Below are 27,303 nucleotides of genomic sequence, written 5' to 3' on the forward strand. Positions count from 1 at the left end.
ATCTACTAAAAATACAAAATTAGCTGGGTGTGGTGGCACACGACTGTAGTCTCAGCTACTCAGGAGGCTGAGGCAGGAGAATCGCTAGAAACTGGGAGGCAGAGGTTGCAGTGAGCCAAGATTGCACCATTGCACTCCAGCCTGGGTGACAGGAGCGAAACTCCGTCTCAAAAAAAAAAAAAAAAATTAGCTGGGCATGGTAGCACACGCCTGTGGTCCCAGCTACTGGAGAGGCTGAGGCGGAGGATCACTTGGGCCCAAGGGTTTGAGGTTATAGTAAACTATGATCACCACTGCACTCCCACCTGGGTGACACAGCAAGACTCTGTCTCTACACAAAAGTAATAATATAAATAAATAAAAATGAAACATTCACAGTAAATAAAAGGCTGGAACCTGGTCTTCGCCCTGTCTTCCCTGATTTTTATGCTTTGGCTTCTTCACTTTGAGCTTCTTTGCATTTTCCAGCCTTATCTGCCCAGTACTCTCTCTCTTCCTTTAATCAAAGAAATACGCTCCTGTAACTCCAAAGAAGAAACGGCAACACCAGTGCCAAAATGATGTTTTTGACAGGAAGAAACATAAACTTCACAGGAAAGCAGTGACATCACGCCCCTCCCATTCCTCCCCTGTTCTGATCCTGGGCTGTGGTTCAGACAGGACCTACAGCCCAGACAGCTCCTTCCACCCCATTCTCTACCATTGTAGTGATGAGGTTAGACCCGAATGTTACAAGAGCTGGGCAAGCAGGTGAAGCACCCCCAGCAACAAAATCCATCATCATAAACATGCAAAGGCCACTGCTTCCCAAAAGTATTTGCTACCTCTTGAGAGCAACTTTATCATCCACTGGCAACTGCTTCAAATTGGGCCCCGACTGTCTCCCATCACCTATCTGCAACTGAGTGTCCCCACCTGCAAGAAAACACACACATCTCCAGGGCCCTGGGGTGAGCAGCAGGACCGTTCCACAGAGGTGAGCCTGGACCCAGGCAGCAGGGACACTGCTGCACCTGCGGCTGGAGTGACACCGAAAACACAGCAGCAGCTGAGAGGGCAGGAGAGGCAACCGGCCACGAGCCTCTGTTGGCTCCAACCACCAAAGGATGGTGCTTATTCCTGACCCCATTACTACGCAACCAGGCTCACTAGAAAGTTTCCATTAGCCGGTCTGGAGCATATTCCTGGGTGTGATATGCCATCATGTTCATGTTTTTTAAATCACTATTAAGTAAAGCGTTTTTTTTGTTTTCTGTTTTTTGGTTTTTTTTTTAGAGACAGGGTCTCACTATGTTGCCCAGGCTGGTCTCAAACCCTGAGCTCAAACGATCCTCCTGCCTCAGTCTCCCAAAGCGCTGGGATTATAGGTGTGAGCCACCGCACCGGCCCTTAAGTAGACTATTTTGAATGCTGCATAGAGACTCCCCTGAAAATAGCCTGTTCTTGGGTTTTAGCTGGGAGCTTATGGCTTTAGATGCGCCAGACCAAAAGAAAAAAAAACAGCTGCAAACCTGAGGTGTTACAAGGTGGCTGCCAGCAAAGCGATCCAGGAGAAGGGAGGCAGGTCACCACGCCAGGAGAAGAGAAGGGCAGGGAAAAGGCCAACTCCGGGAAGAAAGGCCCTGGGGCAAAGCGCATCCAAAGCCGTCACTCTGGGGCAGAAGACAGAGCGGAATCCCATCAGCGACGGCCGTTTCCAGACCCTTTTCCTAGGCAGCCAGACCGGCACCGCTGGCCAGGTGCAGGGCCCAAGCAGAAAGTCAGGAGCCAAGGGAGCGATGAGGAGGGGTGGGGCAGCCAGGGGAGAGGACACCGAGCGGGAGGGGTAAGCGAAGGGGGAAGAGAACAAGGGGGCCTGGAGGGGGGACACAAAAGGAGGGCCCATGGAGATGGAGGAAACACTGAGGGGTGAAGCACACGGAGGGGGGACACAGAGGAGGAGGGGACACGTTGGTGGCGTCGTGCGCGGAGGGGGAGGTACACGGAGGAGTCGCGGAGAGGCGAGGGATGTGGGAGGTCGTCACCAACAGCGCGACCTGGGTCACCCACAGGAAGAGGGCCACTGAGGGCCCCGCCTGACCCCTCCCTCCTGGTGGCCCTGCGCCCTCAGGCCGAGTCCCACCTCCTCTGCAGCTCTTCCAGGACCCACGCGGTCCCACCGCACCACGGCTCCCCCGGACCCCGCTTCCCCGAGGCCTGCGCGGAGACGCCGGGAAGGCCCGAGCCCGCGCATGCGCAGCCGCCGCCACGTGCCTGCCTTGACGCCGCCGGTGCTGCCGGGAAGGGGGCGGGCTGCGCAGGCGCGGGAGAGGCCCACGCGGTGGCCACGCGGGGCGTCCGGTGGCTGCGCTCGGTTGGGCCCCTGGGCTCGCGCGCTCCGTGGGCCGCGGTGCTGACGGGCACCCAGGAGGTGGGGTGGGAGGCGGCCGGCCGGGGTGGAGGGGCGTTCCTGGGCCGACGTGCTGTTGGCTTCCGCGACGTGGTGGAGTCTCGCCAGTCCCTGCAGCGCTTCTGCGACTCTGAAGATAAAGAGGATCGTATTTTGAGAAAAGCTCATGGAGCAAGGAGCTCAAGGAGCAAGGCCTGAGGTGCAAGCTGTCACCGGGTCGCATCTGCTTAGCAGCCTGCACATTGCTAGCGAGAGTCTCCACTCAGCCTGAACATAGTGCTTGGGAGGAGGAGGGCCGCCAGGCCACACCCGTGGGGTGCAGGATGCGCCATGTCGGGGTCCGTGAGTCTGGGGTGACGTGAGATCCCAGAGGCTGAGTCTGGAAAATTGAGCGGATGTGGCCGCGGTAGCAGAATGGACGAAGGCCTCCAGGCCGAGAGGGAGCTCTGTGTACAAGGGCACGGCAAGTGGCCACCGGTGGCCAGTGTGGAGTACGGCTCCCTCCAAAGCAGGCTCTTCCTGCAGGTATTTTATCCGGGAGGTGGACTCAGGAAGCACAGGTAAGGGAGTAGGGAAGTACACGTGTTGGGGAGCAGGTGAGAGCCGGGGCCCCTGGACTAGTCCTCCTGGAGGCCTCTGGGAGAGCACAGGACACAGTTCCGAGTGGGTTTGCTCTGGTTTTGAGGGGCCATCCTTGCCGCCCCACCTCTGCCAACTGCACTTCCAGCAAGCCCCGGGCATAGGCCAGCACCCCTAAGCACTGAGAAAAGCGCTCAGGCAGGAAGTTGCAGGTGCTGGGGGCGGGGGGGCGTTGGGGTGCATGGGAAAGGCAGGGTGCTGAGAGCGTCAGCCGCACTGCATGTGTGTGCGTGGTGGGGCTGGGGAAGGGCTGGCGCGTGTTGACACGATGGTGCGGGCACCGGGGAGCACCACCCCCACATGATCCCCTGTATGTTGCAGAGAGATGATGGCACCAGTGGGCACACTGCTCGCAGGTCAGGAGGAAACAGGGCTTGGTCAGGCCAGAGACAGTAGGAGCCTAAACCGCAGGCCTGCAGAGGTTGAGGGGAGGTGTCTGATAATTAGTAGGGTGTGGAAATGAGAATGAGCGAGTTGAGGATGGTGCCCAGGCTTCTAGTTTGGGTGGTCCGGTGAGTGGCGCTGTCTTCTGGCCCTAAAGCCCTGTCACGGTAAGGAGAACTGCCTGGAAAACGTACACTTGGGGAAGACAGAAGAGGTTATTACAAACACTCCTTCACTTTACAACTTGGCTATTTTGTGATAAGTTTTAGTGCATTTATTTGAGTTTATTAAAGATGCCATGTTACTGCCTTCTTAACAAATGGACATAGGCAGATAGCTGTTTTCCTGTTGTGGTGAGTAATGGCCAGGAGAGGCAGCCTTCTGTGGAGCAGGCACCGCAGAACCTTTGCATGCAGATGGCATCTCCTCTACAATGGCGCCGGGGTTGCTAGAGCCACAGACGCTGAGCTTATTTTACTCAGAAAGCCACAGAAACAATAACCAAAAAAGGATACTATGAAGGCAGCATAGATCATATGCTTTTTAAAAAGCCCATCGTCAGCATCAGTGACAACACCATTACCGCTCAGTCACCGAGATTAAAAATTAGTCACACGTGGAAAATAGAAACAGGTTTTCAGGGAGAAGAAGGTTTTGATTCCACTGAATAATGCTCCCTCTTTTGCTTGGTAAATAGATGATCCATATTTCCTGATGATGTACATTTTCGAGGGTAGCTATGCCTAGGTGGTCTCAGATTTGGGGAAAAAGCCTTGGCCTCAGTTGACTGGGAAGGGCTCAAAAACTATAAATTGTATCCAAAAATGTCTGACAACAAGGTATTCAGTAATGACATCAGAGACTCCATCCAGACTGAATCTAGATTAGGTCACAAATGATTAACAGTCCTTGGAATTAAGAACTTTTATCTTGGCCGGGTGTGGTGGCTCATGCCTGTAATCCCGGCACTTTGGGAGACGGAGGCAGGCGGATCACTAGAGGCCAGGAGTTTGAGACCAGCCTGGGCAACATGGTGAGACCCTGTCTCTACTAAAAATACAAAAATTAGCCAGGTGTGGTGGCGCGTGCCTATGATCCCAGCTACTCGGGAGGCTGAGGCGGGAGAATCTCTTGAGCCCAGGAGACGGAGGTTGCTATGAGCCAAGATCGCAACACTGCACTCCAGTCTGGACGACAAAGCAAGACTCCGTCTCTTTTTTTTTTTTTTTTTTTTTTTTTTTGAGACGGAGTCTCATTCTGTCACCAGGCTGGAGTGCAGTGGCGCGATCTCGGCTCACTACAATCTCTGCCTCCCGGGTTACATACCACCACACCCAGCTAATTTTTTGTATTTCAGTAGAGACGCAGTTTCACCACGTTGGCCAGGATGGTCTCGATCTCCTGATCTCGTGATCTGCCCGCCTCAGCCTCCCAAAGTGCTGGGATTACAGGCGTGAGCCATGATGCCCGGCCGCAAGACTCCGTCTCAAAATTAAATAAAATATTTTTAAAAAAGAACGTTTTTCTTGTGTGCATCACAATACTTCAGCGAGACACAATCCTCATCTGAGCCACCACGGGGCTGGCCCTTGCCCCTCTCCTTCCCTTTAAGCCCTGGTCCAGCCCAGCCTTCGGTCTTCTGAGCCTCCATGTACCTCGGCTGGGCCCCGGCCCCTGTCCTCAGCCCGTCCTGCCCGCTTCCCCTCCCTGGCCACTCTGGGCAGAGGCCTTGCTTCCTGTGTCACTGACACCTGGGGACAATCCACAGAGGTACCCCACACTCCCAACACGGCATCTGTCCCGCCTGTGCCCCCCACCCACCAAACCTCTGCTCCCCTCCATCTTCTCTCCTGTTACCGTGGTTGAACACTTCACGCCCCCTATTAAGTGCCAGCCACCCATCAGCCCTCCCCTGGCCCCACAAACAGTACTGCACCTGTCCTCAGAATTCAAATGTGCCCACTCCCTATGGCCGTCTCTGCTCTTCTGACTCACCTTAATCCCCGTTGAAGCACTCTCATTCTTTGGCTGGGTGCAGTGGCTCATGCCTGTAATCTCAACACTTTCATGAGGCTGGCGGATCACTTGAGCCCAGGAGTTCGAGACCAGCCTAGGCAATATGGGGAGACCCTGTCTCTACAAAAAATACAAAAATGAGCCAGGCATGGTTTCTCATGCCTGTAATCCCAGCTGCTTGGGAGGCTGAGGCAGGAGGATTGTTTGAGCCCAGGAGTTCAAGACTGCAGTGAGCTGTGATCACACCACTGCACTCCAGCCTGGGCAACAGAATGAGACAGCCTGTCTCAAAAAGAAAAGGTCTCACTCTCAAAGCCCCCTGAGACCACTTCCAACAGGGTCTCCACCAGCCTCCTCCACTCTTGGCAGCCTGGTCTTGCTGTCAATGGCGCAGGATGGCGCATGTGTTGGTCACTGGCTTCCCTTGGAACTGGTTCCTCCCTGAGCTCCTGGGGGCCACCTGACCCTGTTTCTGTTGCCCTCCTCCTTGGGCCCACTGTCGTGAACTATCCTGGCACTCTGTCCCCAGCAACTGTATAGCAAAGACGTCTACAGTGTGGACCTTGGCCTCCAGCCTGGCCCCTGAGCTGGAGACTCGGCAGCCTTCAGGACCCTTCCCCTGAGCTGTGTGAGAGAAGCTCCAGCCCAGCATCCCAAACCCAAGGCTCTGCCTGCCGAAACCTCCTCCTCCCAAACCGTCCCCGTATGGTGGTCACACCAGCCATCTCTGAGCTGCCAAGGCCAAAACAGTGTCGGAGTCCTCTACACCTCTTCCTCCCACCGCCCCGTGGAACCCACCGGCAACCCTCACACACGTTCCAGTATCACTGCTCTATGGCGGTGGGCTCTGCACCAGGCTGGACCACAGAAGGCCATGGTCGCTTCAGTTGTATAAAACACGCCACAGGTGCATCCAGCTGCTGGGATCAGTGCCAGTAAGTGCCCACTGCAGAAACCCAGTGTGCTGTGCCCGGGGCACCCTCACCAAGGCACTGTCCTAAGAATGAAACTGGCAACCAGAGGAAAGTCCACAGCAGGCCACTCTGCCACATTCCAAGGACAATCATGTGTTCCCCTTCCCCATATCCTTTTCTTTTTATTTGCCAGAAAAGTGCAGTTCTCCAGAAGCCAGCAGGCCAACCATGGGCGTCTCCCTCCCTCCCTCCCTAAGCACACTCAGCACCCAGGAGGGACATGAGCACCCACAGCCTGGGAAGGTCCCTCAGCGGCCGGGAGGGACATAAGCACACACAGCCCGGGAAGGTCCCAGAGCAGGCTGGGTGCTCCTTGCTTACGGAGGCCCCACCAGGGCCTGGCAGGGCACCCAGAAGATGAGGGCTTTAAAGAGCTCTCTTTGTCCCCATGTGGCTCCTTCTACCATGCTCCCGGCAAGCTAATGTTCTCAGTGGCTCTTTTTTTTTTTTAACAACTCTTATTTTCAAATAAGAATAAATATGTGTGTCTGTTCTCTGGGGGTTTAGGCAGCCCCGAGCTGACCCTGTGACTGGGGAGGGATTGATGGCCCCGTCTCACCGGGAAGCCAGGTGCATCTTTTACTAAAGGTGGTTTCTGAATGATGAATGGCTTTCTCACGAACATAACACTGTTGATTGTATTTACAAACAATTCATTTTCACGTTCTGTTGATTCTGCCCCAGCCGTCCCTCCTGTTGCCTCCACAGATGATGCATTGGTGGCTATTACCACCATTGATGAAGGCGTCCTGCTCGCCCTGTGGTACCTGTTACTCCATTCATCACAGTTGAGCAGCCTGCGTGCAGCGGGAGAGCGTGTTCTCTTCGGGCCTTGCAGTTATTTATCCTTGAATTTGTGTGGGTTTGTGCACCTCTAAATACAGGTGCAAACCCACACTCCAAGATCTTAACAGGCGCAACAGTGGCCAAAATACACGGCCAGTTAAATTCTTGGGGTTTAGCCAGTCCCCCAAAGCCCACCTCTTCCACTCCACATTCTAAAAAAATACCGATGCGCATAAACAGTGTCAGCAACCTCCACTAATTAAGGCTTCCAACCAGAAGGAAAGCTGAAGTAAGTACCAGCGATCAGCATCAAATCATCAACTTTTAGGGCTGACCTAAAAGACCCCAAGCCTGAATGCCCCAGCACCCACTGGGCAAGGGGCAGCCAGTCCCCAGCATGGCCTAATCCAGGCCAAGCAGGAAATTTCTGGAATCAGCTGCTTTTTCCACATTTCTCTATCTAGACCCCCTCCTCCTGGCTGCCTCTCTGGTTCAGTGGTGGCGTTCCCCTGAGCTTGACCGGGCTCTGCAGATGGGCTGGCATGCATGGAAGAAGCTGGCGCTGTGAGGAGTCCTGGCTTCCCGCTCACAGCCATTGGGCCTTGGGTGAGTCAGTCAGTCTCTCCAGACCTTGAGGTCTTCACCCAGGACATGTGGAGGCTCAGAAAGGAGCCCAGGTTCCTGCCCATCTGGAAAATCTGCATGTTCCTGGTTGCAGCAAGAGTCTGCCAGGCTCACACTTGCAAAGTACTGGTCCATATAAAAGCATAAAGCAGGCCAGGCACAGCGGCTCACACCTGTAATCCCAGCACTTTGGGAGGCCAAGGTGGGCCAATTGCTTGAGCCCAGAGTTTGAGACAAGCCTGGGCAACATAGCGAGACCCCATCTCTACAAAAAATACAAAAGTTATCTGGATGTGGTGGCGCATGCAAGCGGTCCCTGCTACTTGGGAGACCGAGGTGGGAGGATTGCCTGAGCCTAGGAGGTTGAGGCTGCAGTGAAGTGAGCTGTGATCACACCACTGCACTCCAGCCTGGGCGACAGAGAGCCACCCTGTCTCAAAAAAAAAAAAAAAGGCCAGTCACAGTGGCTCACACCTATAATCCCAACACTTTGGGAGGCCAAGGCAGGCAGATCACTGGAGCTCAGAAGTTCAAGACCAGCCTGGGCAACAGGGCGAAACCCTGTCTCAATTTTTTTTTCTTTATAAATTACAAAAGAGAAAACGAGCATAAAGCAGCCCCATCAGCAATTATCACCTCATCTGCAAAAGGTCCCGGCGCTCACTGCCGTGCCCCTCCCGCCGCTGTCCAGTTCCCTGCCTGTCACACCAAAATTCTCCTCTACTTTCTCACCTCCCATCCTTTCATTTTTCCCCCTAAATTTTTAAACTTCAGAAGTGCACAATACACATGTAACAAACCCACACATGTACCTCCAAATCTAAAATAATTTAAAAAAACAAAAAGGAAACTCTAAATTTTTTGAGTGCAGTGATACATTCTTGCTGTGCCAAATCCAGTAACACAGAAGCATGCAAAGAAAAAGGCAGCACCACCCCCCTCCAACACACACACACACACACACACACGCACACACGCACATATGCACGCACACACACGCACACGCACACACGCACACGCACACACTCCAGCCTGGGCGACAAGAGCAAGACTCCATCTCAATAAATAAATAAAGAAAATAGTAATTGAATATTTTCCTTCAGGAAACAGCACCCTGCAGGGAGGGGAAGTCTTATGACCCTCAAAGTTTGAGAGCCTCTCTTAACTTCCCAATGGCCTCTGTCTGCTGAACCAAGAAGCCTGCAAAACAAATACGTAAGAACTGGATACCATTTCAGTCACACATGCTTGCTGACAGTCACTGATATGGTAATGCCTCCTGTACACATAGCTGACTCTGAAGACTGCTAAGAGGGTTTGGGTCTCTGCTGTACAGGACCTTGGCAGCCTGCAAGGAGATGACTCACATGGAAGTCCCCACACAAGTGCACCCAGTGTGAACTTTGGAAGCATCGGCCCATGCTCAGGCCCACAGGTAAGATGGCCAGGAGCCCCTAACCTTGAGGAAACTTGAACCACAGAGCTGCTGGCGAAGGGGGTGGGTGAAGGTCTCATGTAGCCTGTGTGATTCAGGCAGAAGTGAGAAGGACGGGTGGGAACCCACCAAGTGGACGACAAGCTGAAGGGCTCCCAGGGAGCAGACACTTCAAGGGCCCCAAAAGGCCAGGAGAAAGAAAAAAAAAAGCCGGGTATGGTGGCTCATCCCTGTAATCCAGCACTTTTGGGAGGTTGAGGCAGATGAATTGCTTGAGCCCAGAAGTTTGAGACCAGCCTGGGCCTGGGCAATGTGGCGAAACCCTGTCTCTACAAAATATACAAAAATTAGCCGGGTGTGGTGGTGCAAGCCTGTAGTCCCAGCTATTCAGGAGGCTGAGGTGGGAGGATCACATGAGCCCAGGAGGTGGAGGCTGCAGTGAGCTGTGATCGTACCACTGCACTCCGGCCTGGGGAACAGAGTGAGGCCCTGTCTCAAAAGGCCAGGAGTGGAAGACAGGCCCTAGCCAGGAGGTTTCGCGTGGCTGGCAGGGGCCTTATGAGAAGGCTGTTGCTGGGAGGGGCCTGCTGCAGATGGCTGCGGCAGACCACGGAGCTTAGCCTTCAGGATTTAGATCTGGGGATGACAGGCTCCTGTGTGCTTGTTGCGGAGCCGGGAGCACAGGCACCAGAATGATCCCAGGGCTCAGCTCCAAGGCTCCGCTGGGCCTGTGGTGGGGCAGTGAACGTGGACAAGACCTGGGCTTCAGAGGAACTTGATGACCAGGAGCCGTGGTTACCGCCTGTGCCCTGGCCTTCCTGCTCTTCAAAGGGTGTGTTCTGAGCTGAGGCGAGACCCACACGAAATCCGAGCGGGCTCCGGAGTCACCAGACACCTAGGGAAGTATGGAAGGCCCGGAAGGACACACACAGCCGGGTGAGCCCCGCAGGGAGCTGTGCAGTCTCAGGTCGTCCAGTCCTGGGGCTGCAGGCCAGTTCTCCAAGCAGGTGGTCCTGGAGGCAAGCTGGTTTTGAAAGTAGGTTCTGAAAATAGGTCAGTCCAGGAAACAAGCTCTGGAAGTAAAGAGATTCGGAAAGCAGGTTCGTTCTGGAAACAAGTTCTACAAACAGGTAGTTCTGAAAGCACGTGGGTTCCAGAGGCAGGTGCTAGAAGGATGTGGGTTCTGTACGGAGGTTCTGGAGGGAGGCGGGTTCTGGACGGAGGTTCTGGAAGGAGGCGGGTTCTGGAGGCCGGTTTTGGAAGCAGGACGACACCGACAGAGGCGCCTCGGACTGGGGCCAGGCCTGGAGCCTCCGCTCCGCGGGCAGAGAGAAGAAAGCAGGCATTGTCGGAGGACTCACACAAGCACTTGTCCCTAACAAAACCGTTTTTAAAAACCCCATTGTGAACATTTTTGGAACAAGCCTCTTAGAGGGTCCCGTTGCCGGGGTGACAGGACGAAACGGCGCGAGCGGGCAGACTCCTGGAGTCCCCGCAAAGGGAGCCGAGGAGCTAGGCGCGCCGAGTCCAGGTCCGCCCTGACTCTCAGCTTGGGACGTTCCGTATAGTTTTTTTCTCCGTTTCCCGAACTTCTCCCGCACGCTCAGCGGCCGCCGCGGCGCATGCGCAGTACAACCTGCCAGCCAGCCGCGGGCGTTCCGGCCGCGGTTGCCAGGGGTTACCGTCCCGCGGGCGGGCGGAGCTGGCCGTCCAGAGCCCGCCTTCCTGGAACTCTGGTTGGCTGATATAGCTGTCCGTCGAAGCGGCATTGCCGCCTATTGGGCAATGGCCAGCTTCGCACGCCAGACCCGTGCCCCGCCCAGCCGCGCCGCGGGCCGCCCCCACTCAGGAGGGACAGTCGGGGACCGGCGCGGGCACTCAGGAGCCCGCGGCCCAGGTGGTGCGGGCGGCCCTAGCCCGGCTGCGGAGCGCTGCGCGAGCGGCGGGCTGGCTGACCCCGAGGGACCCCCAGCGCAGCGGGTGCGGCGATGATCCTGGAGGAGAGGCCGGACGGCGCGGGCGCCGGCGAGGAGAGCCCGCGGCTGCAGGTGCGCAGAACTGGCGCGGCGGCGGGAGGAGGGGCCCGGAATCCCGGCCTTTTCCTGCCCCCCCTCGAGGCGCGTTCCGGGCGCCCCCCTCCTACGTCTCATTCGGCCCGGACGCAGGCAGGGAAACTGAGGCCAGAGCCTGCGTCCCTCCTCCTCTGAGCTCGGTGGAGGTGCTTCCAGGCCACTCATGTGAGCCGGGAAATGCGGACAGCCAAAGTCTGGATCATCCTCACCGCTGAAGCGGGTTGGGGGGACGCCCTCCTCGTGTCCCCCTTCTGGGCGGATGTGGGGCTGGGCTCTGTGAGCGCCCTCCCCACACCCGCCATCGTGTTCCTTTCCGGCACCTGTACAGCCTCCTTCCCTAGTTCGGTCCTCCCTCTGCATCCGCTCAGGAACTGCATGCCCATTGGGTGCACTGGTAGCAGCGGGCAGCGAAGCCTCCTGGGTATGGGAAACCGAGAGAGGTCTTCCCGGCTGGCCTCTTCTCACTTCCCAAACCTCCTTCCCTTCTGAAGTCCCTAACCCGGGGTGCTGACTGGGCAAGTGGGAGGGGTGGGCAGGGCTGTGGAGACCTGCTGAGTCTGTGCCTGGGAAGGAGGGGACGTCTGTGGGCCTTGCTCTGCAGCCCAGAGCCTGCTTGTTCCCTGCGGACCAGCTCGAGGCTGCCCCAGTCCTCCTGCCAGGCCCTGGGCGCCCACGCCCGCCACGGGCTTTCAGCCGCGGGCTGCTCCTGCTCCTCGCCCCGGGTGAGCCTTTGATAGCGCGCGGCCCTCCTCCCCTCTGGGACGTCAGACTGTGTTGTCCCTGGGCTGGTTCTACTCGGCTTTGGTGTTTGGGGTTAGGTCTCCTAGAGGAGGAGGCGGTGCTATCAGCCAGGGTTTGGCTTCAGGTCACTGGGCTGGTGATGCTGACCGTAGCCCTCAAGGACGCCCTTCTTGCCCACCCCGAGGCGTGCCAGAGGCTGCAGCACCTCCTGGGCACTGGAGGGAAAGAGGCAGCCTGTGCCTGCCCCCTATGAACTTGCTCTGTCAGGGCGGCCATGCCTGCAGGTGGCCTGGGACGGCACATGTTGTTTTGGGTGGAATGTTTGGGAGGCTGTACAAACAAGATGTCCCAGAGGGCTCCGGAGGTGACGCTTTTCAGGCTGGGGGCTGTGCCTGGGCTCCCTGTCCTGGCCCTCCCTGGGCTGCCACCTTGGAAAGTTGGGGAGAAGCTGTTTCCAGGCTGCCGTGTCTCTCACAGCGTCCAGAAATGACCCCACAGTCAGGGTACTGGGGAGGGGCCCGTGGGAGGTGGCAGTGGGGCGGAGGCAGGCCCTGTGTCACACGCGCACCACTCAGGCTGTCCTGCCATCTGGAAAGTCTTCCCCGATGCCTGCTGCCGGGCTAGAGTGAGGCCTGTTCCACCCCCATCAGGCTGGCCCCCAAACTGGCCCTAAAGCTCAGAGTTCAGTGGGTCAGGGGTCGGTCGTTCATCCACTTAGAGGCCACACCTGGGCCTGAGGCCCTGTGGACAGGTCTGGGTGACTTGTATTTGCCCCAGGCGTGATGAGAGCAGGCTTCCAGCAAGCGCTTACCTGGTGCCAGGGCCAGTGCTACAGCTGGAGTCCTGCCATTGGTGCCTCCCAAGCCCTGGGCCTCAGCCCGTCTGATGAACAGGGTGAGTAAGTGGCCAAGGCTGCCAAGCTGGGAAGGGGAGAAGCCTGGCACGGCCCAGGGTGGCCAACCCAGCTGCCGTCCCTCCCGCAGGGGCTGCAGGGGCTCCCGGGGGAGGACCACAAGGAATACAGCCTGGCTGTATGCAGAAGGTTCTGTGGTTTCCTGGGGAGGCCAGTGGGAGAAGGGGGAGCAGGCTGCAGAGGGAGAGCGTTGGAGCAGCAGGTGGGCAGGGTGGCTGTGCCCCCCTCACCTGGTCTCCAGCATGCCGAGTGGGTCAGCCTGAGGTTCCCCAGCCTGGCTGGACAGGAGCACCCTCTGGGTGCTGGTTACAGGTTCCCAGGCCCCTGCCCAGGTAGATTGGGCTCCAGGAAGAGGGGTGCTCAGGAAGCACCAGTGCCTGGGTACCCCAGGGAGCATCAGAGAGAGTGGGAGTCCCTGCCGTGAGTGGCCAGTCTATGATTCCTCTGGCGTGCGTGCTGCTTATAGCCCTGTGTCCCAGGAGACACCTGTGCAGCAATGCCCTTTGAATTCTGTTCCCTCATCAGTGGGGGGCAGAGATGGTGGGTCAGGTGGGTGCTGGGCTTCCACCCTCCTGGGGCTTCCAGTTCTTGCATTCAGGTGAGACTTCAGTGGGGGCAGAGGAGAGGGGTACCTGAGATGGGTGGCTGTCAGCATACAGGGTGCCCAGGGCCAGGGCTCTGAAGGGAAAAAGCTGGTTTGCTCCAGGTGGGTGACCTCTCCCTGGGGACTGCCTGGCCCAGGGCCAGGGGATCCTGGGGGAGAGTGGAGGTCTGGCCCTGCTCTGATGTTTTGCTGTTCCCAGACCTGGGCTGGGATAACTATCTCTGCCTTTTGCCCGTCCCCAGGTCAGCCCCACTCTGGCCAGGGCCACACTGTTTCCTCCTGGGCAGAGGAGCCCCAGTGTCAGGGTTGGGGGGCTGTTTCTCTGTTCTTCGTCCCTCTCCATCGAGGCATGGCCAGGCCCTTCATGTGTGGCTGCCTCTCGGGACCCCCACAGACCACAGCCTCTCTGTCCTTTCCTAATGCAAGGCGGAAATGGCCACAGTGGGGTGTCAGGGCACCGTGGACGTGGGGGTGGGGAGCTCCAGGTCACCTTTGTCTCCAGAGGGTGGGGAGGTTGTAGCAGGAGTAGGGGCCTGAACGCCTGTGTCTATGCCCCTTCCACTGGGCTCAACCTTCAACCCAGTGTGGAAAGTGGGGCATGGGCCGCCCACCTCCAAGGTCTACCCAGCCTCAAAGGTCCGGCTCGGGTCTGCTCCTCCGCCTGTAGGCCGGGAAGTCACTTGGCCTGCAGGGAGCACTGCGGGTAGGGAGGCCGAGGAATGGACCAGGCCCACAGCAGGTGCCTGTGGGGCTCCAAGGGGCCAGGCTCCCCGCAGCTCTCCTGGGGCCAGGAGGGGAGCAGGGACCTGGCTGGGTGTCTGATGCCCGTCGCACAGCCAGAGCCCTTAAAGCTGCTGGAGCCTTGCAGCGGGGCCTTTGCGGGGAGGGGGTGTAGCTGCGGTGGGTGGCACGGGGGTCTCCTAGGTACTGGGCAGAGGCCCTCGAGGTGGTAGCGCCGGTGGGAAAGGTAGGGATGGGAGGCGGGGGTGGGCGGGCCTCAGGTTCAGGGAGCTTCTCAGATCTGAGGCGCCCATGCCCCTCTCCCACCTGTGGGCCTCTCCAGCCCGAGTCCCTGAAGCAGCTCTGGAGGGAATTTCTTTTCTGGAGGAGGCGGGAGTGAGAAACGGGAGCAGGGTGAGGGTTCCCAAGTGCACATCGGCCCGTCCGCTGCTGGGTGGTGTCCACGGGGGCAGGGCTGGGCTGGGGGAGGCCAGGGTCCTGGGCCGGCACACCCTCCTTCCGGCTGCCTGTGTCCCTCCCTCCAGCTGCCTGTGTCCATCCCTCCGGCCGCCTGTGTCCCTCCCTCCGGCCCCTAAGCGCCAACTCATCTTCAGTTCAGGGACCTCCGTCAGGCTCCCTCACCCCAGCACTCAGCAGGAGGCTGCCGGCCTGGGTGTCCAGGGGATGGTGCGGGTGTCCAGCAGACAGTACAGGGGTTTGGGGGATGGTACAGGTGTCTGGGGGATGGCGTGGGTGTCCAGCAGATGGCGCAGGGGTTTGGGGGATGGCACAGGTGTCTGGGGGACAATGCGGGGGTTTGGGGGATGGCGTGGGTTCCAGGGGATGGTGCAGGGGCTTGGGGGATGGTGTGGGTTCCAGGGGACGGTGTGGGGGTTTGGGGATGGCGCGGGTTCCAGGGGACGGTGTGGGGGTTTGGGGATGGCGCGGGTTCCAGGGGATGGTGTGGGGGTTTGGGGATGGCGTGGGTTCCAGGGGACGGTGCGGGGGTTTGGGGATGGCGTGGGTTCCAGGGGACGGTGCGGGGGCTTGGGGGATGGTGTGGGTTCCAGGGGACGGTGTGGGGGTTTGGGGATGGCGTGGGTTCCAGGGGATGGTGCAGGGGCTTGGGGGATGGCGTGGGTTCCAGGGGATGGTGCGGGGGCTTGGGGGATGGTGTGGGTTCCAGGGGACGGTGTGGGGGTTTGGGGATGGCGCGGGTTCCAGGGGATGGTGTGGGGGTTTGGGGATGGCGTGGGTTCCAGGGGACGGTGTGGGGGTTTGGGGATGGCGCGGGTTCCAGGGGACGGGGCGGGGGCTTGGGGGATGGTGTGGGTTCCAGGGGACGGTGTGGGGGTTTGGGGATGGCGTGGGTTCCAGGGGACGGTGTGGGGGTTTGGGGATGGCGCGGGTTCCAGGGGACGGTGTGGGGGTTTGGGGATGGCGCGGGTTCCAGGGGACGGGGCGGGGGCTTGGGGGATGGTGTGGGTTCCAGGGGACGGGGCGGGGATTTGGGGGATGGCGTGGGTTCCAGGGGACGGTGTGGGGGTTTGGGGATGGCGCGGGTTCCAGGGGACGGGGCGGGGATTTGGGGGATGGTGTGGGTTCCAGGGGACGGTGTGGGGGTTTGGGGATGGCGCGGGTTCCAGGGGACGGGGCGGGGATTTGGGGGATGGCGTGGGTTCCAGGGGACGGTGCCTCATCCTCCAGTCTCTGTCTCTGCCTTCCCATGGCCACCTCCATGTGACTGTGTTCAAATTCCCCACCTCGTATAAGGACCCTTGTCACTGCGATTAAGGACCCCCTACTCCAGGGTGGCCTCATCTTAACTCATTATATCTGCAAAGACCCTATTTCTAGAAAAATTGCAGTCACAGGTACTGGGAGTCAGGACTTGAACCTGTCTTTTGTGGGGACACAATTCACCCATAATAGATGGTCACCCGCTCAGCTGGCTGCTGTGATTTTGGGGGGCTGGACGAGCAGGCCTTCTGTCTAGGAAATCAAACCTTTCTTGTATAATGGGAATAAACTAATTAAAATGCACACAAAGATCTCGTTCACATTAGCAAAAAGAACTCTCTCCAGATATCTAGGAGAAAACCCAGGAAAACACGTGTGAGCTCTTTACGGGGAAGACGGGAAGGCCTGAGAGACGTGTGTGCGTGGAGAGGGTGTCGGGTCCACAGAGGGGAAGACCCAGTGCGTGTGCACGTTGGCCCCATGAATCCGCAGCTTCATGCAGTGGTAGGTCAGTTTCATGGTGGCAAGATTCACCTTCAGACGCCACAAGGTCCTGGGGAAGAAGAGGTCCTGTCTCCCGACAAGGGCGGGAAGCAGTCCCAGGAGCCACCAGAGGCCTTGTCTTGCTGCTGACTGGCAGAAATGGCCAGGTTGGCCACGCCTGACTCAGACCAGGCTCGCCCCAGGGCTGGGTGGGAGTCAGTGTCCCTGAGCAGTGAGCCCTGAGCAGCACTGTGGGTCTCAAAGCATGGAAGGAGTGGGTGCTGGAGAGGCAAGCCAGCCAGCCCACGCCTGGGAGCCCACCCAGGGGACAGCCACAGGTAGCTGCAAATAATCTTGTCCGGGTGGAGACCCAGGCATTCCCACATGGCCACGGGGAAGAGTGGGGGTTGGGAGGCCATGGTGAGAGGGAGGGACACGTGAGGATCATGTGGGCAGGACCCCAACACCACAAGGGTGGGGTGGGCTGAGGCATGAAACTGGATCTCCCTAGAGTGAAATGTAAGCTCCAGCACGCTGGCACCACTGACGACACAGGAGCCATCAAAGTCCAGAAGGGGCCCCGCTGGGCACGCCCCACTCTTTCGCCATGGCTGGTGCTGGGCAGGGCCGCGGGGCTGCAGTCTGGGTGCAAGGCTCAGAGTCATTTCTCTGTGGATAGGGAGGGCACGGGTGTGCGTTCGCTTCGAGAACCATTCCCAAAGTCAGACCGCAGCCTCTGCACCAACCATCGGGGGCCAGTGGCCGCCCCCAGAGCCTCAGGGACCCTGTCCTTTGAGCCCACGCCTAAACCCACATGGGAATGATTTGGAGGCGTGGGTGAGTTGGATGGGAAAAAAATTGGGAGGGGCAAGGGGGGGATCCAGAATGAAATCCAGAAGCGCAGAAGGAAGGCTGTGAGGAGCAGTGGGCCGCCTCCTGCAGGGCTCCCGGAGCCCCTACTTGTCCAGGCTGCCTGGTGAGACCCTGGCTTCTGGTGTCCTTGGCAGGTGCCAGCCTCCCCCGCTGACCCCCATCACGAGTCAGCAGCTTACCCCACCGACCACGTCCTTCTGCATTGACTGCCTCCTGTCCTGCTCTGGCCAGGCCTGTGTTCACACTAGTTCTGTCCAGCCCCTCCCTGTGAGGCCAGCTCCAGCCCCAGCGCATGGTGACCATCCCGTTACCCATGGGCAGGATGCACTCCTCTCAGTGGCTGGCGAGGCGCAGCCTGGTGCGGGCGCCACGGGGTCGGGCTGTGATCGCCTGTGGCCTCCCTGCAGGGCTGTGACTCCCTGACGCAGATCCAGTGCGGCCAGCTGCAGAGCCGCAGGGCCCAGATTCACCAGCAGATTGACAAGGAGCTGCAGATGCGGACGGGCGCTGAGAACCTCTACAGGTCAGTGCTTGAGACTGCCCGGCCCCGGGAGCAGGGCCCACCTGGGTGAGGGGGGCAGGACAGCCACGCAGGCAGATGTCTGCCCCATGGCCGGGTCACAGAGACAGGTGCATGAGCAGCTGGGTCCTGGTGGGCACGTAGTACACGTGATGCTCAGCCATGACCCTCACAGACCTGCCTCCGTGGGCCTCTGTGCTGGGCTGGAGGTGCCAGGAAACCAGTGTCCCTGCCGGGTGTGCAGCTTGGGAAGCCCCAACAGTGCACGTGGGGGCTTCTCAGAAGAGGCATGGTTGAGGCTGAGCTGTGGCAGGTGATGGCGCGTCCCAAGGTTGGGGACCTGGGAGGGGGTGGAAGACCTGGGCTGCCTCTTCCTTAGAGCACACCGCCTGTGTGCCACACATGTGCGTGTGAGTGCCCCTCGGTCCCCTTAGCACCTGCTACCTCCCTGCCCCCATCCTGGCCTTCCCTGGGGACCTCCGGTCCCTTTGCCAGGCCCTGATGCAGGCACAGAGAGGTGTGTGGCTCTCACCCACCATCCAAGGAGTGATGTTTGAGTGCTGTCGAGGGCTGTATGAGCCCCAAAGAAAGCCGTGGTGCTGAGGGAGGTGCCCCCAGGCCAGAGTCGGAACATGCAGGTGCTGGGGTCGGGGTGATGAACTGTAGGGGGCATCACCTGTGAGCCCCCGGATCCCACTGCTGCCCCTGCCCCACCCATGGGGGGCAGACCCTGTCAGCGACGTCCTCTGCAGGGTGGGCTTGGAGCTTTGACAGGTCAGCTGGCAGGACGGCTGCAGTGGGCACGGGGCCTTTGGCTCTGCCTTGGGGCTGGGCTTTCAACTGCCGCGGCCTCCCTCAGAGCCACCAGCAACAACCGGGTGAGAGAGACGGTCGCCCTGGAGCTGAGCTACGTCAACTCCAACCTGCAGCTGCTGAAGGAGGAGCTGGAGGAGCTCAGCGGTGGCGTGGACCCTGGCCGGCATGGGAGGTGCGGGTGGGGGCCGGGACAGCACGTGCGTGTATGTGTGTGCACGTGTGCGTGTGTGTGTGCATGTGTGTGCACGCATGTGTGTCTCTGTGTGTATATGTGTGCATTGTCTGTGTGTGTGCGTGTGTGCATGTGTGTGCATGCATGTCTGTGCGCGTGTGTCTGTGTGCATGTGTCTGTGCATCTCTGTGTGTGTGCGTGTGTCTCTGTGTGTATATGTGTGTGCATGTGTGTGCATGCGTCTGTGTGCGCGTGTGTCTGTGTGTCTGCATGTGTCTGTGTGTGCATCTCTGTGCGTGTGTCTGTGTGCACGTGTCTGCGTGCGTGTGCATGTCTGCGTGTATGTGGGTGTGTGTTTGCCTCTATGTGTGCGTGTATGCACGTGTGTCTGTGTGTGTCTGTGTGTGCGCGTGTGTGTGTCTGCACGTGTGTGCATATATGTGTGTGCGTGCGCATGTGTGTCTGCATGTGTATGCACGCATGTGTTTGTGTGTGTGTGTGCGCGCGCATGTGTGTGTCTCTGTGTGTGTGTGTTTGCTTTTGGGGCGGTTTAGGACGGTGGGGGGTGGTGCACAGGTGCAAGGATGCCCCCCAGGACACAGGCGCACGTGCACACCCATGAGGGAGGGAGGCACCCTGTGCCACAGAGCCCTAGGAGTGGACCCCGGGCTGCCGTGGGCAGCAGGGTTTGGCCTTACAGTCTGAAGTCGATGCTTCTGGTTACAGCGAAGCTGTCACTGTCCCCATGATCCCCCTGGGCCTGAAGGAGACCAAGGAGCTGGACTGGTCTACACCGCTGAAGGTAGGTACTGGCCTCCAAGCTCTGAGATACACGGCCCTGCCCTGGGACCAAGGGGGTCTTGGAGGCTTTCTGGTCCAGCTGTCTGGTTGAACAGATAGGGAAACTGAGGCCCAGAGGGAGGGAGGCTTAAAAGGGACGCAAGGGACCTGGCAGAAATGGCCACAGGGACCCAGCCTCTGCTGCGTTCAGGGCCCCGCTGGTGCCTGCGCCCCAGGCCGGGGCTGATCCCATAGAGTGGGTGTGAACATGTGCCCTACCCTCGGATGGGCAATGCCCTAGGAGGATGGGGCCTGGAAGCCCCAGCCGGAGCACAGGGTACAGGCTCGCCCATGGAGGGCACCACTGGCTTGGGGCCACACACCCAGCACTGGCTCACGAGGGTCCTGGGGAGAGCTAGAACAGACTGGCACTGCCTGGCAGGGCCCCACGGGAGCCACTGACTGTGTTCCGTGTCCGAGTCACTGAGTGGCAGATGGCACCTGCCTCCCGGCCACGGGGATGAATAAGGAAACGCACGTAAAAGTAGCGCTGAGTCTCCAGGCCCCGCTTCTGTGATGGGGTGGGGAAACCCCAGGGCCACAGGGGCTCCGACCCGCATCAACCCACCAGGCCCCTCCATACACATTGGCCCCCAGCCCTTCTCTGGGGCTTCCACTGAGGGGCCCAGGGCCCCCACGCTGCATGGCAGCCAGCCTGCTCTGCGGCACAGACCCTCCCTCCACCATGAGTCTTTTCCCAAGGTGGGTTGGGAGACCTCAGGGAAGGAGGCCAGGCACAGGGGTACTGTGGATGCCAACACCTGCCCCCCATCAGGAGCTGATCTCAGTGCACTTTGGAGAGGACGGCGCCTCCTACGAGGCAGAAATCAGGGAGCTGGAGGCCCTGCGGCAGGTGTGTGGTTCCCCCGCCCACCCACCCTCCTGCAGCCCTGGGAGACACATGCGGAGGCTGAAGCTGAAGTCAGGAACAGACAGAGGAGCTCAGCGTAGACATCTCGAGGACGTGGGGAGACGGGCGCACCAGGGGCCCTGTGTGTCCAGACCCAGCCAGGGGGCGTGGAGGGGCTCCCAGGTGGCTCCGGTGCCGCATGCTGCTGGCCTTCGGGAGTCACGGCTGCCCAGGGCCCCACTGGCTTTGCCTCCCCGCCCCCCATGGTGCTGGTGCCCATGGGACTTCCCAGGGCAGTGTGTGTGAGTGGGGTGGGCCAGGGCGGTGGGGCCCAGTGGCTCCTGCCCTGCAGGCCATGCGGACCCCCAGCCGGAATGAGTCGGGCCTGGAGCTGCTCACAGCCTATTACAACCAGCTGTGCTTCCTGGATGCGCGCTTCCTCACCCCTGCCAGGAGCCTCGGGCTCTTCTTCCACTGGTAGGGGCTCTGCGGGCGGAGGCACCCTGGGGAGGGGAGGCCCAGCTGCGGGAACCGTGGGAACTCCACCCAGCCTGACCCAACACTGCAGGTACGACTCGCTTACTGGGGTCCCGGCCCAGCAGCGTGCCCTGGCCTTCGAGAAGGGCAGCGTTCTCTTCAACATCGGTGCCCTCCACACGCAGATTGGGGCGCGCCAGGACCGCTCCTGCACCGAGGGTGCCCGCCGCGCTATGGAGGCCTTCCAGAGGGCCGCTGGTGAGGGCGGCCCGGGCCGCGGTGGGGCACGGCGCGGTGCCAGGGTGTTGCAGAGCCCCTTTTGCAGGGCAGGAGCTGGGGAGTGGTTAGGACATCAGTCCCTCAGGTAGGGGGAGTGAGCACATCAGGTCCATATGTGTCCCAGGAGCATCCCTAGCTGGCCGCCCTGAGTGCTGCATGGGGCAGAGATGGGCAGGTACAGGGCCCTGCCTGTGTGAGCACCCCTCCCTCCGCAGGGGCCTTCAGCCTCCTGAGGGAGAACTTCTCCCATGCGCCGAGCCCAGACATGAGCGCTGCGTCCCTCTGCGCACTGGAGCAGCTCATGATGGCCCAGGCCCAGGAATGTGTGTTTGAGGGCCTCTCACCACCTGCCTCCATGGCCCCCCAAGACTGCCTGGCCCAGCTGCGCCTGGCGCAGGAGGCCGCCCAGGTGAGCTCGGGCACCCGTGTCAGGATGCAGGGGGTGGGGCCGAGCTGGGGTCAGAGCCCAGGTCCAGGCATGCGTGAGCTCTCCCACCTCCTTCCTTGTGTGTCAGCCCCGAGCCAGCTGTTGTCCTGCTCCCTGGGGGGGCTGGTCAGGAACCTGGGGACCCGAGCCTCTGCCTCCAGGGGATGGCACAAAGCAGCAGGAACTGAGGTGCCAGGGAGGCTGCTGGGATGGTGGTCGGAGCAGGTGGAGGCTGGGTAGGGAGAAGCAGGCACCACCTGGAGAGTGGGAGGCCCTCGCGTGCCTGCCACATCCACCGGCAGGTGGCAGCCGAGTACAGGCTAGTGCACCGGACCATGGCCCAGCCACCCGTCCACGACTACGTGCCTGTCTCCTGGACTGCCCTGGTGCATGTCAAGGCCGAGTACTTCCGCTCCCTGGCCCACTACCACGTAGCCATGGCCCTCTGCGACGGCTCCCGTGAGTGCCCACCACACTTGCCCATGGTACTGCCAAGGCCCCCCCGCGCAGGGCTCACAGCCTCTCTGTCCCCCAGCAGCGACCGAGGGAGAGCTCCCCACGCACGAGCAGGTCTTCCTGCAGCCCCCCACCTCCTCTAAGCCCCGAGGCCCTGTGCTGCCGCAGGAGCTGGAGGAGCGCAGGCAGCTTGGTAAGGCGCCCATGGGTGGAGTGCCCTGGGGCTCAGATGGTCACCAACGGTGGCAGGGTGTCCCCCACCACCCTCATGCTGTTTGCCACCTGCTGTCCCCGTGCTGACGAGTTGGGCCACCTACCTATCCCTGGATGGCCTGTGCCTGATGGGTGACGGCCCAGCGCAGGGGCCCCAGGAGTGCTGGGCAGCCTCTGAGCAGGTGGGAGACCACTGGGAGCAGCTCATCCCTGGCCCCTGCTTTGCACGTGGCAGAGCCCTCCTGCACAGCCAGCTCCTCACCCCCGTGGCGCGCACCCCCAACGAAAGTGGCTGTGATGAGCCCCACAGCCCTGGCGTTGCCCACTCCTTCTGCCACGTCCCAGGGCCCACGGGCCCACATGGTGTGTGACATCCCAGTGCCCCGCGTGCAGGCAAGGCACACCTGAAGCGTGCCATCCTGGGGCAGGAGGAGGCGCTGCGGCTGCACGCCCTGTGCCGCGTCCTGCGCGAGGTGGACCTGCTTCGGGCTGTGATCTCCCAGACGCTGCAGCGCTCACTGGCCAAGTATGCGGAGCTCGACCGTGAGGATGACTTCTGTGAGGCTGCCGAGGCCCCGGACATCCAGCGTGAGCAGCCAGGGCCTGTCTGGGTGGCTGCATCCCTGGCCAGGGTGGGGGCCTTCGTCCTGGAGAAAGGGAGGCTGATTGCATTAAAGATGCAGTCACCACGATGAATTAAACAGCAGTAGCACTTTCCAGGCCACGATCACAGGGACCCACAGAGCTGCTGGGCCCTTCAGGGGCCTGGGGGATGACCACGCTCCTCAGCACCTCCCTCCCTGCACTGGCCTCCTACCCTGAGGGGAAGCCCACAGACCCAGGACAGGCATGGCTGGGACTTCAGGGAGGGATTTTGGGAGCCACTTGGGGCAGAGGGGGCCGTGTGTTCAGGGCACACCTGGGGCAGCTCCTCCCACCATTGCAGAGTGGCCAGGCCTGGAGGTCAGAAGCGGGGCCTGTGTGCACTCAGGGTCATGCCCTGCGCCCTGGAAAATCCCCGAGGCAGGTCTCCACAGTCTCCCAGCTTAGCTCTGCTCTTACACCCTCTCAGCTAAGACCCACCAGAAGCCAGAGGCCAGGATGCCACGCCTGTCCCAGGGGAAGGGGCCTGACATCTTCCATCGGCTGGTGAGCACACCCGTCCCCAGGCACCGCCCAGCATGGGCAGCTTGGGCTGTGTGGCTCTGACCAGCACATGGCCTCAGACAGGCCATTGATGGTGGTCCAGCCCTCCCCACCCACCTTGTGGAACCCCACGGTGTCCCTCGGTGCACAGGTTGGATGGATGTGCTAGTCAGGCGGGGTCTCCTCAGTGTGTGGCCCAGCTGGGCCTCTGACCTCTGAGCCCCTGCCAGGGGCCCCTGTCTGTGTTCTCAGCCAAGAACCGGTGGCGGCTGGTGGGGCCCGTCCACCTGACCCGAGGAGAGGGCGGCTTTGGCCTCACGCTTCGGGGAGACTCGCCTGTCCTCATCGCTGCCGTCATTCCAGGGAGCCAGGCCGCGGTAAGGGCCCCGCCGGCCCCCTGAGGCTGAGTCCTTGGTGCCAGCCAGGGTGTCCTGTCCCCACCTCACCGTCCAAGTCTCCCCACAGGCGGCTGGCCTGAAGGAGGGCGACTACATTGTGTCAGTGAATGGGCAGCCATGCAGGTGGTGGAGACACGCGGAGGTGGTGACGGAGCTGAAGGCTGCGGGAGAGGCGGGCGCCAGCCTGCAGGTGGTGTCGCTGCTGCCCAGCTCTAGACTGCCCAGCTTGGTGAGCCCCTGGGGCCCCAGAGGGGCGGTCCCCAGCTTGCTGTCACCACCCTGGCCCTGGGCCTGCCTTGGATGCTTGAGCAACATTGGGAAGGGGAGGTGGGGCTGCAGGTAACCCTCCCTGGGCCGCCTCCTGGGCAGGGGCCACCTGTGCTGTGGCCTCCATCTGGCAGCTCTTGCCCTGACCCCGAGGATGCTGCAGCCCACCCCTCACTGGGCCTCTGTATCCTCAGACTGGAGGCTTCTGGGCCAGGCGCTCCATCCCAGAGGTTTTCTCTACCCAGCATGGCTGACCCAGGGTTGGGTGAAACCCATGGGCCCCTGCTATGTGGCCACCCTGATGGGAGCCCCCAAACAAGCCCCCGACGTGCCAGCCCCTCCCAGGTGGTTCTCACCCCTCCCAGACTGGCTGCAGGTGGGGACAGGCCAGCAGTGGCTGACCACAGTCTGTCTCTGTCCCTGCTGCAGGGGGACCGCCGGCCCGTCCTGCTGGGCCCCAGGGGGCTTCTAAGGAGCCAGAGGGAGCATGGTTGCAAGACCCCGGCATCCACGTGGGCCAGTCCCCGGCCCCTCCTCAACTGGAGCCGAAAGGCCCAGCAGGGCAAGACTGGAGGCTGCCCCCAGCCCTGTGCCCCAGTGAAGCCAGCTCCGCCCTCATCCTTGAAGCACCCAGGGTGGCCGTGAGGGCCAGGATCCCTGCACGCCTCAGCCCTGGCTCCAGCTGGCAGCAAGCACCGAGCATGCCCTCCCCACCCAGAGGACCTCCGGGCAATGCCTGTCCCGCCTCATGCTGGAGGCTGCCTCGGGCACCTGCCTGCCCATTAAAGACTGGTCAGACCTGTCTGAGCCCAGTGATGGGAGCTGTGGCCTCTTCACCCACACACAGAAGGATGCCAGTCCCTCTGTCGGTCTGAGGTCAGCTTCCTGGGGCTGCCCCACCCTGAGGGCTCCTTACAGGGTGCTCCTCACAGCCATCCCATCTGTACCCCCGGGCTCTGTCCACCCTGCTGCTGCCCTGGGCACAGACCCTGAGGTCTCAGTCCTGCCTCCAGCCAAGTTTCTGCCTGGTGCCCAGTGATTCCTGCTGGGCACCCCTTCGCTCACTGCCCCTCCACCATGCAGCAGCCAGACACACCCACAGCACCCGCAGACCTCTAGGCCGGGTCCCAGACATGGCCTTCCCCCAAAATACTTCCTGCTGTCCTGTCTGTGCACAGAGCAAGGGACTCCCCACCTCTGCGCCCTGTGCTGGTCATCATGGGCTCTGTGCTGGTCAACCCAGCAAGTGTCCCGTTTGCCCAGGAGTCCCTGGTGTCGTGGCCCAGGTCTCATGGTGGCCCTAAGCCTGCCAGCCCTGCTGCCCGCCTTGCTGTCCTGCTCTGAGCATGGGTGCCACCCTCCAGCTCCTGGGCGTGTCACTTCTCTCTGAGCCTGGGGCCTGCATGGGCCCCCAGCCCTCCCCAGCCTGCTTGGGCCGCTCCTGCTGGCCTCCACAGGCCGTGAGCTGTCAGTGTCTCAAGCAGGGGAAGTGAGGGCTGCCTCCAGGCCTCCGTGTACTGGGTGGACAATGGCCCCCAAAGGCCGTCGGCAAGAACACCACCTCCAGGACCCCTACAGCAGTGGGCTCAGGACTTGGGCACCAAGAGGAGAGGGTGGGAAGGGCTGCAGAGTCAGGGCTGCACCCAAGAGGAGCCACGGAGCCGGAGCCGGAGCGGAGGCCCCCACCGAGGGCCCCAGGGCCTGGCAGGTTCCGGAAGAGACAGGGCCAGCGGGAGTCATTCCCTGCAGCCACTAGGGGGCAGCCGCCACCCGCTCAGCAGCCCTGGGAGGCGGCACGGGCAGGTGCGCCTTGGGAGGGCTGAGGCAAAGACCCCGGGTAGAAAGGCGGCCCCCAGCTCTGCGAGACCCCTGCCCTCTTGTCCAGTCCCTTCCGAGGGTCCGCAGGTGAGAGCAGCCTGCCCTGCATCCCAGGCTCTGGTTCCAGGGTCCAGGGCCCTGCGCTGCCACCTCCCTCGTGCTTCAGCCAAGAAAATGGGGGTGCAAGTAGGGTGTTTGGGGTCCCAGAGACGCAGGCGCCGCGGCGCGATCTTCCTGGGCAGGAGGGCAGGGCTCCCCAACCTGCCTGAGCCGGGGTGGGGGTCCAGGTCCCCCACTTGCCCTTGTGGGAAAATCCCTGTCTCAGCAGAATGGGCCAAGGTCACGCAGGTCTCCCCAGCACGTGTTAATTTGGTTAATAAAACTGTGGATCAAGGAGGCCAGTAGGCACTAACTGGGGATGACAGGGTGGCAGCCCTGTCTGGGAAGTGCAGGGACTCCCCACCTCCTGTGGCCTGTCGAGACCCAAGCTGGGGACAGAGCTGCCACCTGCCTCCTGCATGGTGGGCGCCAGGCCACCATAGCCTGGGGGAGGGGGCTTTTGCCCAGAGAGCACGCCTCTCCCCACCGCAGACCCCTGGGGTGCGCCCAACCCGTCCCACCCCTGCCCACACATGCCTCTCCCCTGGCTGCCACCAAGCCTGGGCCTGTGCTCCTGGCCCTGCCCTCTGCCCCAGGCCATCTCCTCCCCTGCTGCCCCCCCCCCCGCCGTCGTGTCCCTCTGCCACAGAGGGGGGGCCTCACAGCTGAAGCCACACGTGGCTGGGACCTGGCTCCCGTCACCGCCTCCGTCCTGTGAAGTGGAGGAAGCCTGGTGCACAGGGGTGCTGTGGCGATGTGGGGGGCCCTGAGGTCCTGCTGCCAGCCAGGGGGAGGGGGGCGGAGGTCCTGGGATCTGGGGTCCAGAGTTCTAGTCAAGGCAGGGCTGGGCAGGAGGGGGGTCCCCCTCCCCACCTTCCACTTGGGGCTGCTCTCCAGAAGAGAAAGCGGATGCCTACCAGCCCAGCCCCTCAGACTTGGACCATGCCCCTCCGGCATCTGTGGGAGTCCTGCCAGACAGCCCCTGGGCTGCGGGAAGGGACCGCGCCCCATCCCATCCTCATCCCTGCAGTAGCTGGTGGCTGCCTGCCCGGCGCAGGGGCCTGCTGAACAGGGGACTGCCCTGTCCAGCCCACCCACGGGACTCCAAGTCCACACAGGCAGCAGAGTCGGC

General features: G+C 61.1%; 2 protein-coding genes and 1 long non-coding RNA gene across 21 annotated transcripts in view, besides 7 other annotated features; 1 reads left to right on the forward strand and 2 right to left on the reverse strand.

The window, feature by feature from the left end:
• TOP1MT (DNA topoisomerase I mitochondrial) overlaps window positions 1-2,225 on the reverse strand; it is a 50,654-nt gene extending 48,429 nt beyond the window's left edge. For 4 of the 8 annotated variants that reach the window (NM_001258446.1, XM_047421333.1, XM_047421330.1 and 1 more), the window contains exons 1-2: window positions 2,123-2,225; window positions 1,512-1,652 (exon numbers count right to left, since the gene is read on the reverse strand). Coding sequence is in view for 3 of the 8 variants with exons in the window: in XM_047421333.1 (XP_047277289.1) it covers window positions 1,512-1,638 (127 nt within the window). In the remaining 5 variants the exon portion in view is untranslated. Of the gene's footprint in view, window positions 1-1,511; window positions 1,653-2,122 lie in introns of those variants that run through there. The other 4 variants (NM_001258447.1, XM_047421336.1, XM_047421339.1 and 1 more) reach the window with 2 other exon arrangements.
• A 4,277-nt stretch (window positions 2,226-6,502) lies between these two features.
• RHPN1 (rhophilin Rho GTPase binding protein 1) lies at window positions 6,503-26,469 on the forward strand. 12 transcript variants are annotated; one of them, XM_005250772.4, is made up of 16 exons: window positions 11,124-11,295; window positions 16,383-16,541; window positions 17,801-17,916; window positions 18,773-18,901; window positions 19,628-19,703; window positions 20,517-20,594; window positions 20,944-21,068; window positions 21,160-21,326; window positions 21,563-21,756; window positions 22,077-22,233; window positions 22,310-22,423; window positions 22,837-23,031; window positions 23,516-23,592; window positions 23,820-23,966; window positions 24,055-24,216; window positions 24,684-26,469. In XM_005250772.4, the coding sequence occupies exons 1-16, from the start codon at window positions 11,236-11,238 to the stop codon at window positions 24,897-24,899; spliced, it is 2,172 nt and encodes a 723-aa protein (XP_005250829.1). In that variant the 5' UTR covers window positions 11,124-11,235; the 3' UTR covers window positions 24,900-26,469. The 12 variants fall into 12 exon arrangements, with proteins under 12 accessions (XP_047277275.1, XP_005250829.1, XP_005250830.1 ...); XM_005250773.4 differs by having other exon boundaries at window positions 22,313-22,423; XM_047421315.1 differs by lacking the exon at window positions 11,124-11,295 and adding an exon at window positions 12,073-12,954.
• Window positions 8,871-10,883, reverse strand: RHPN1-AS1 (RHPN1 antisense RNA 1). Its single transcript, NR_026785.1, has one exon. It is a non-coding gene; the product is annotated as an RHPN1 antisense RNA 1 (long non-coding RNA).
• Window positions 10,082-10,637: an enhancer, noted in NCBI's record as "H3K4me1 hESC enhancer chr8:144450004-144450559 (GRCh37/hg19 assembly coordinates)". NCBI's record gives its function as "activates a minimal SCP1, AML or CMV promoter by ChIP-STARR-seq in naive H9 embryonic stem cells {active_cell/tissue: H9 hESC(naive)}" and the evidence as "EXISTENCE:reporter gene assay evidence [ECO:0000049][PMID:30033119]".
• Window positions 10,801-10,870: a silencer, noted in NCBI's record as "silent region_19617". NCBI's record gives its function as "represses an Ori minimal core promoter by ATAC-STARR-seq in GM12878 lymphoblastoid cells {active_cell/tissue: GM12878}" and the evidence as "EXISTENCE:reporter gene assay evidence [ECO:0000049][PMID:35858748]".
• Window positions 10,881-11,340: a silencer, noted in NCBI's record as "silent region_19618". NCBI's record gives its function as "represses an Ori minimal core promoter by ATAC-STARR-seq in GM12878 lymphoblastoid cells {active_cell/tissue: GM12878}" and the evidence as "EXISTENCE:reporter gene assay evidence [ECO:0000049][PMID:35858748]".
• Window positions 11,378-12,285: an enhancer, noted in NCBI's record as "H3K4me1 hESC enhancer chr8:144451300-144452207 (GRCh37/hg19 assembly coordinates)". NCBI's record gives its function as "activates a minimal SCP1, AML or CMV promoter by ChIP-STARR-seq in naive and primed H9 embryonic stem cells {active_cell/tissue: H9 hESC(naive and primed)}" and the evidence as "EXISTENCE:reporter gene assay evidence [ECO:0000049][PMID:30033119]".
• Window positions 11,541-11,590: a silencer, noted in NCBI's record as "silent region_19619". NCBI's record gives its function as "represses an Ori minimal core promoter by ATAC-STARR-seq in GM12878 lymphoblastoid cells {active_cell/tissue: GM12878}" and the evidence as "EXISTENCE:reporter gene assay evidence [ECO:0000049][PMID:35858748]".
• Window positions 12,286-13,192: an enhancer, noted in NCBI's record as "H3K4me1 hESC enhancer chr8:144452208-144453114 (GRCh37/hg19 assembly coordinates)". NCBI's record gives its function as "activates a minimal SCP1, AML or CMV promoter by ChIP-STARR-seq in primed H9 embryonic stem cells {active_cell/tissue: H9 hESC(primed)}" and the evidence as "EXISTENCE:reporter gene assay evidence [ECO:0000049][PMID:30033119]".
• Window positions 25,688-25,787: an enhancer, noted in NCBI's record as "active region_28070". NCBI's record gives its function as "activates an Ori minimal core promoter by ATAC-STARR-seq in GM12878 lymphoblastoid cells {active_cell/tissue: GM12878}" and the evidence as "EXISTENCE:reporter gene assay evidence [ECO:0000049][PMID:35858748]".
• Window positions 26,470-27,303: the final 834 nt, after the last annotated feature.

This window comes from Homo sapiens, chromosome 8 (genome assembly GCF_000001405.40).
Source record: "Homo sapiens chromosome 8, GRCh38.p14 Primary Assembly".
Classification (NCBI taxonomy): domain Eukaryota; kingdom Metazoa; phylum Chordata; class Mammalia; order Primates; family Hominidae; genus Homo; species Homo sapiens.